Here is a 6,928-nt window from a genome sequence, read left to right on the forward strand (position 1 = left end):
TTTGAGTGCCTTCTCTATATGAGGACCCAGTACTAAGTGCCTAGCGATTTTGCTATACTTTACTTTGAATATTTTAAGTCACTAAAAAACATGCCAGTTAATAATCTAGAGACCCTTTTTATTGGTTGGTTGATTGTTTAGTTGATCGGTCGGTTGCTTGGATGGGTGATGGTTTGTTGGAAAGAAGAATGGGACAGGATATAATAAAGAATACAACTCCCCTTTCTTTTTCCTTACACACACTCATACACACACACATAAACTTTGGCTTAGTCCCCAACCCCTTTTTGTTAATTTTTTGTATTCAATATTGCACTTGACTGACACAAGAAAGTCACTGTAGAGAAACAGGTTTCCTCTGAGGTAAAGCTGGTTTCCACAGTGTGCTAAACTGCTCATTTAAAAGCGTGCATTGGTCCTTAGGTGCATACGGGGCAACAGTGCTCATGTCAGCCACAGGACACTCCAGGCCAGAAGGAGTAACACATTTGTACTGCACATAAACAACACCAGGCCATGCCATGCCATTTTATTTTATGCATTTTGGCTCCCATTTAGAAAAAAGAAAACCTCATTATCTTGTTGCATATATTTGTAAGGTCAGTGAATCATGTTGTTTGTTTTCACCTTGAAAACTACTTTTACGTAGATGATTGTGATTGCTTGGAGCTTAGAAAAATACTGAGATCTGTGAACAAATATGTCTTAAAGCATCCTTTTCCCTTCTCCTCCTGAGTTCCTTTAGATGTGGGGGATATAGGAAAGGAAAATGCTACCTTATATTTGTTATACAGGGATGAGGAACATTGGCTAGCACAGCCATTTCTAGCATCCCTAGATTTGTCTCTTTCAAAAGGTAAAAGACACAAGCAAAACCCCAATTAAGTTAATAAGTATTGGAAATTATAACACACACGCTCATTAGTTACTTTGTATTGTTCAGAATATTTTTTTTTTTTGACCAGGGTGAGTAGAGTTGATTGCATTCCCAAAAACCCAGGATGTTAAACCTAGAACTTATCTCAGATAAAGGATATTTCAGTTATGTATAGTAGTAAGTTTTTTTTTAAAAAAATAAATACTTTGAAACTATTTTAGAAAAGACTCTATCCAATACAATGCACATTAAAATTACCCATAGTCTAGAAAAAACATGTGTGTAGTAAAAGTTAGTATTTGATATCTGCAGCTCAAAGTAGCACATTTCTATTTTTCTTTTAGTGGGCATGTTCAGTGATTAAAAAATAAAACCTAGTATGTTCTGAATTTTTGTAAAGGGGCTGACTAATTGTAGGTCAGAGCTAGTATAGTAACTGAGCAATTTCAACTGCTCAGGAAGCGTCACTATGCCAGTGTCTGGCACTGCTCCTGGCATATTCTGTTAGTTCCTGGAAAGGGGGAGTTAGAAGTCCTCAGAGATCAGGGCTTCACTCTTGCGGTTGAAAGTGGAAGATGGGAGAAACTAAGAGACCCATGTGATGTCACAGCTTCTCCTGTGGCTCCCTCTGTGACCGTGACTCTAAGAAGCCCGATGGGTTGGGAAAGGAGGAGGGCAAATGAGATTCAGCGAACAATAACTGGGTTTAGTTTAAAAGGCGAAGAGCTGTGTCAACCCTCAAAGTTCAGAAATTGCCCTATGCAGCCACAGACCAAACCTTGGTGGTGGGTGCTATACACTTATGGCTGTCAGTCCACGCCCCTTCCACTGTCCTTGCGTTTTGTCATCTTTGGGCTGCCCACATTCAGCTTTCCGGTGTCTTTTTTATCTCATTCGAGATCAGAGCCCTGAATCTCCTAGGAAGCTACCTGGACTGGGAACTGGATCTTGCTCAGTGGCAGGCAAGCGGGCAAATTAGGGAGCAAGTGGGAAACTTAAGTGTCTGCTGATGTTGCTAACTGACCGTCCTTCTCACTCTTCGAATCTTCAGCTCGAAGTCAGATCTGAACTCTGCCCCAATCTAGTGGAACCCGTCAGAGTTGGCAGACTCCATGTGGAAGAATCCAACTTAGGCATAAAAACTTGGAGGCTCTGGGGTAACAGGCTCTAGGATATTCCCACATCCCTAGTGGTCCCTGTATTGTATTCTTGAGATTCGTGCATACTTGCCAGTGCCCAGAGCCCAGGTTGCCAGGCACCGGGACTGCGGATCTGGACTGCCAGACGCCCACCCAGGAGGCTGGGAGAGCTCATTTCTGCGCCCAACTCAAGTGGCTGCAGCGGCTCGCGATCCCTTGCCCAGAGTAGGGGTGCCGGTCCCTGCGAACCTGGATCCCCGCACTCTAGCCCGCGTTCCTGGAGCCCAGATTGAAAAACCCGCCAACTGTACCTCCCGGGGAAGGCCGGCACCCTCCAGGAGGGAAGCAGTGACGCGGCTCCCCCTTTTTTGTGTAGCCTCCCATGAGCACTGACCTCCACCTTCCCCAGCTCCGGCTCCTGCGCCGCCGCGCGCTGCCTCGCCCGGGACCCGCTACACCCGCGTTGGTGCGGCGACCGACCACGTCTCCCGAGCAGGCAGCCTGGGGCTCACTCACCGATCCTGAGTACTTGCGGGGCGGTCTGAGGGAGGATATAGCAGAGGAAATAGAGGAGTGCCCAGCTGGTGTCCCTGGTCCAGAGCCCGGGCTGGGCGAGGAGTGTGCCGTGCTCCATCTTCCTAGCTTCTTAATTCATGCCGAGATACAGCCGCTGCCGGACGCCCGAGAGATGCACCCAACTTGGGCCGGGTCCCCGCCTCATCCTCTCTGGATGCTCCGGTTCCAAGCACGCTGCGCGCTCCCCACGGAGCGAGCTCGAGGGAACCCGCGTGGGACCGCGGAGCTGGCTGGCAAGGCTGAGCTCTCTCGGGGCTCCTCAGTGCTGTCGCTAGCCCATCACGGCTCCTCCTCCTCCTCTTCCATGGGCCGCAGACCGCGGAGGATCAGCGCTCTCTGGCTCCCGGAGCCCAGAGACCAGCTGAGGAAAGTTGCTGCCCCGATCTGCAGGAACGTCTCCCTCATTCGTCCTTTGGTCAGATGCAAAAGTCGGGGGATAGGCACAGACAGAGGAGGGAAAAGGGGGAAAGAAGACTAACGAAGAAGGAGAGAGGGTACAGGGTGAGTTGGTGCAGGGGCTCTGAGCAAGCCTGATGAGCTCCAGCAGGTTAACTGGGAGCGGAGCCACGTTCCGGCTTCTCTGAATCTTTGCTTTCCTCCTCCCCTCGCTGGCCCCACCCTTTATTTACTGCCCGCCCCAACCCCACTGATCAAGATACTCGCGCGCGCGCGCGCACACACACACACAGACACACAGACACACACACAGACACACACACACACACACACGCTCTTTTTTCTCTCCCTCAACTTTGCGCTCTGCTGCTGGGAAGTCGATCGAGTGTTGCATTCTCAAGACAGATCAAATCTAAACTATTGGTCCGAGCAGAGAAAGCCTCTGCTGTCCGCTGTGAGTGGCAAGGAAGCCTTCTTGGTAATGTCCGTGTGCACCTGTTAGGGGGTCTTATAGACAGCCAGCTATGACTCGTCCCATCATTTAATGGAAAATCACCTCCAATATTTTGGAAAATACCGGGGCTCCTGTTTTGACTCTGACGAGGATGATGAACAGGGGAAGGGGGAGAGGAATGAGAAAGCTTCAGTACTCCAAGATTATAGTGGCTTCATTCCTATTTGGACCCAAGATAATCTCTTGCAAATTGCTTCCATTTACACATGCCACTGAGATAGAAGCAGCCTCCAGCGCCGCTACTTTTCTTCATTTCTTTTAACTGTCAGGTCTGAATACTGAAAGATAGGCTATTTTAGCAATGTAGGTTTGGAGACTGTTTCTCTGTAGAAGGACAAGGACACTTCCCTAGGGAAATCAGCATTTGATTATGTTGGATTAATTTCCTTCGAGTTTTGTGGGGAATGTTCTATATATATGTTTGCTAGGTCTATATTAACATCTCTTTTTTTTAACTGGTAAATAGATTTTGAAGAACTGACCAAATCCATATGAAAAGTATGTCCACAGTTGTTATATGAGCCTAGAGTGGGAAACAATTGCAAAAGGAATCTAATATATCTTAAAGTCCATTCGTGTATTAATTAATTAATTCATTCATTATTCAACAAATACCTACTGAGTATTTTGTTTGTGGTGTCAGACACTATACTTTTCACTAAAAACCCTATGGTGGGGAAAATGCATGTTCATTCTCCAAGGGAGGTTAGAACTCCACTGTGGAAAGCTAGTCAGTTCATATCTCAAGTAGTAGGCTTGGTTCTGGACACTTTGGGATGAGAGTTAACAAAGCAGAACATGTCTGCAGATAAGAAGAGGGACTGATAGGGATTTAGGAATGCATTTTTGCGTGGAAAGATTGAGGAAACCAAGAGGAATTAGGAGCACATGCTGGTTATCTTCAGACATTTGAAGAATTCTTGTGTTAAAAGAAAGTAGCCTTATTCAGTGTTAGATATGTGAGAAGAGCTAAGAAAAATAAGATTGTCAGAGGGAAATTGTAGAAGAGTAAATTTTGTCTCATTCGGGGAGCATTTTTAAGACCAGAGAATATCAAACAGCGGCAAGGCTGGGTGTGCTGGCTTACATTGGAGCACTTTGGTGATGTTGAGGAGGGAAGATGACCTAAAACCAGGAGTTCGAGGCCAGCCTTGGAAACATAGCGAGACCCTTCCTGTGCAAATAAAAATTAAGAAAAACAGTAGCATGACCTGCTTCAGAAAAGAGGCAAAGTCAAACTATTCATTTATTTATGCATATTTTTTGAGAGCCCACGTTGTGTGAGGTATTGTGCCAATCTCTGGAGACACAGAGGGATATGATTGCTGCCACTCTGGAACTCATTGGCATTAAAGTATGATGAGCTTTACAAAATGGTGTTATGGAAGTAAAGAAAAAAAGTAGTGTAATCCCATTTAAGAGTTTGGAAAGGGGTTCTTCAGGAAGTGATGCTTCAAAACTCAAAGAATCAGTGGTTTAAAAGGGATTAGTAAGTATTTCTTAAAGTGAGAATGAATGTAAATCTGTTAGAGGGTTTATTTTTAAACCTAAAGGTCTGTGGTAAGCATTTTTAGTCATCTATTTTCTCTGGGTACATCAAAGACCAATACATAGCAGATAGTGAGTGGCTAAAGTTTGAAGACCCAAGGTCTAGAATTAAGTCAGCTTTTGAACAAACTGGGTTTAAATTCTGGTTTTACCAAGTCTATGTTTTTAGCTTTGGTTAAATTTTTATGTCTGCCTGTAGTCCATTGCTGGTGCTTACGTATATCTAGTTTTCCCTTTCTCTGGCTCATGAAAGCCTGTACCTTTTCAATTAGTTGGAATCTACCTTTTCAATTAGTTGGAATCATGTGACCATTTTTGGCCAATAAAATATGAGTGGAAGTGCACTGCTGCCAGGAGAAAAGGAAGACAGTGAAAAAAGATCCTGCATGACTTCCAGGACTCTCTTTCCCTGCCAGAGTAACTCTGAAAGCCACAAGTTCTAGAGGTTAAGATGAAAGCAGCCTCAATCCCTGAGTAATTTTTTGTAAGGGAGTTGCTCTGAATGTTTCTAGAACAGCAACACACTGCTAACAAATCAGTCCCAGCTCAACATTATGTTTTAATCCACTACAATTTTGAGATATTTGTTACTGCAGCATAAGCTTCTCTATACTAACTAATAAACTTTCTATGACTTGATATCTTCATCTGTAAAATGAGGATAATAATAACACTACAGGGCCATTGGAGGATTATATGAGCTACTGCATGTGAAGAATTTCCCAAGGTCCTTGTTACTCAGCATATTTTAGTTTATTTGTGGTCATTACTTTTCTGGTTAAAGGAATCCATGCATATATTTCTAGTAATAATCTGCCCCAGATTGCAGAGACTGAAATATTTTGTTTTTTGGGCAAGAAGTCAACAACACTGGTCCAATTAATTATATGGTAATCATAATTGTTCTGATACTATTTCAGGAGTTTTGCTACTTTTTACCTGTATTGTCTCTGGTTTATGAGGAAACAGTTCATTTTGATAATTAGAGATATTAGAGAGATTTCCTAAAGGAAGTTTCTCGAAAACTAAATGGCACACTGCAGTTATGTTTCTGTATCATCTGTAAAATTCTGTAAAGCTTAAAACTGAAATTTATTTCCTTGTTAAAATGCTTCTCTCCACTGCTCATGTACACAGGCTCATGGTGTTGAGTTACTCATGAGTGATCAGCAGCTGCTGTTAATTTGTTTTGTGCTTTTTAGAAGGACTGTATTTTGTACATATATTCATCCAGTTATTTTTTGCCCGAAATGACTCTGGTAATCACTCTTGATTCACATTTTCTCATAGTGCCCTCTTAAGAATAAACATGTCTAATTGAATGCATGCCGTCTTTTTCCCATTCCCCAAATCTTAAGCTTAAATTGATACACCGTGGTTAACAATAAAACAGTACAATGACATGCAGCATTGTGCTTCCTATGAGAGCTGGTGGCATTACTTAGATACTAATCCATTTTAAATTACTTAATTTTTAGGAGATAACAGATACAAAGAAAAATAGCTTAGAGTAACCTGGGGAATGCGAATGTTATACAGTCTTTTCAAAATGTTGTGAGCATAGTTGAGGAAACTTAAAATGTTACTCATGGCACCAAAAACAAAAGATCAAGTGGCTTTTAGAGCCTGCTGGGACTGTGTAGCTGATGTAGGGTCTAAATCTTGAGTTCTTGACTACTTCTTTATGCTTTTTTCGCTAGGTCATATCATATATTTCTATGATGTTAAATACTACCTTTTAGCCAAAGATTCCCAAATGTTGTCTTTTGCTCAAACCTCCCGATTCATGCAGCCAATTTTAGTGACCATTTCTAAGTGAGCCAACATCTCAAATCCTTGATTCTGTCCCATGTCATTGTCCCGCACTGAATCCTCTCC

The 6,928-nt window shown here is 43.2% G+C and overlaps 1 protein-coding gene across 13 annotated transcripts in view, besides 1 other annotated feature; it reads right to left on the reverse strand.

Annotated features, from left to right (window-relative positions):
• The window catches only part of GRIK1 (glutamate ionotropic receptor kainate type subunit 1), a 403,064-nt gene extending 399,918 nt beyond the window's left edge, over positions 1 to 3,146 (reverse strand). For all 13 annotated transcript variants that reach the window (NM_001320621.2, NM_001320618.2, NM_175611.3 and 10 more), the window contains exon 1: positions 2,533 to 3,146. In NM_001320621.2, coding sequence (NP_001307550.1) covers positions 2,533 to 2,650 — 118 coding nt within the window. In that variant the 5' untranslated portion in view covers positions 2,651 to 3,146. The remainder of the gene's footprint in view (positions 1 to 2,532) is intronic.
• Positions 2,432 to 2,933: an enhancer, noted in NCBI's record as "H3K4me1 hESC enhancer chr21:31311600-31312101 (GRCh37/hg19 assembly coordinates)". NCBI's record gives its function as "activates a minimal SCP1, AML or CMV promoter by ChIP-STARR-seq in primed H9 embryonic stem cells {active_cell/tissue: H9 hESC(primed)}" and the evidence as "EXISTENCE:reporter gene assay evidence [ECO:0000049][PMID:30033119]".
• Positions 3,147 to 6,928: the final 3,782 nt, after the last annotated feature.

The sequence above is a fragment of the Homo sapiens genome, chromosome 21, assembly GCF_000001405.40.
Source record: "Homo sapiens chromosome 21, GRCh38.p14 Primary Assembly".
NCBI classification, from domain to species: Eukaryota; Metazoa; Chordata; class Mammalia; order Primates; family Hominidae; genus Homo; species Homo sapiens.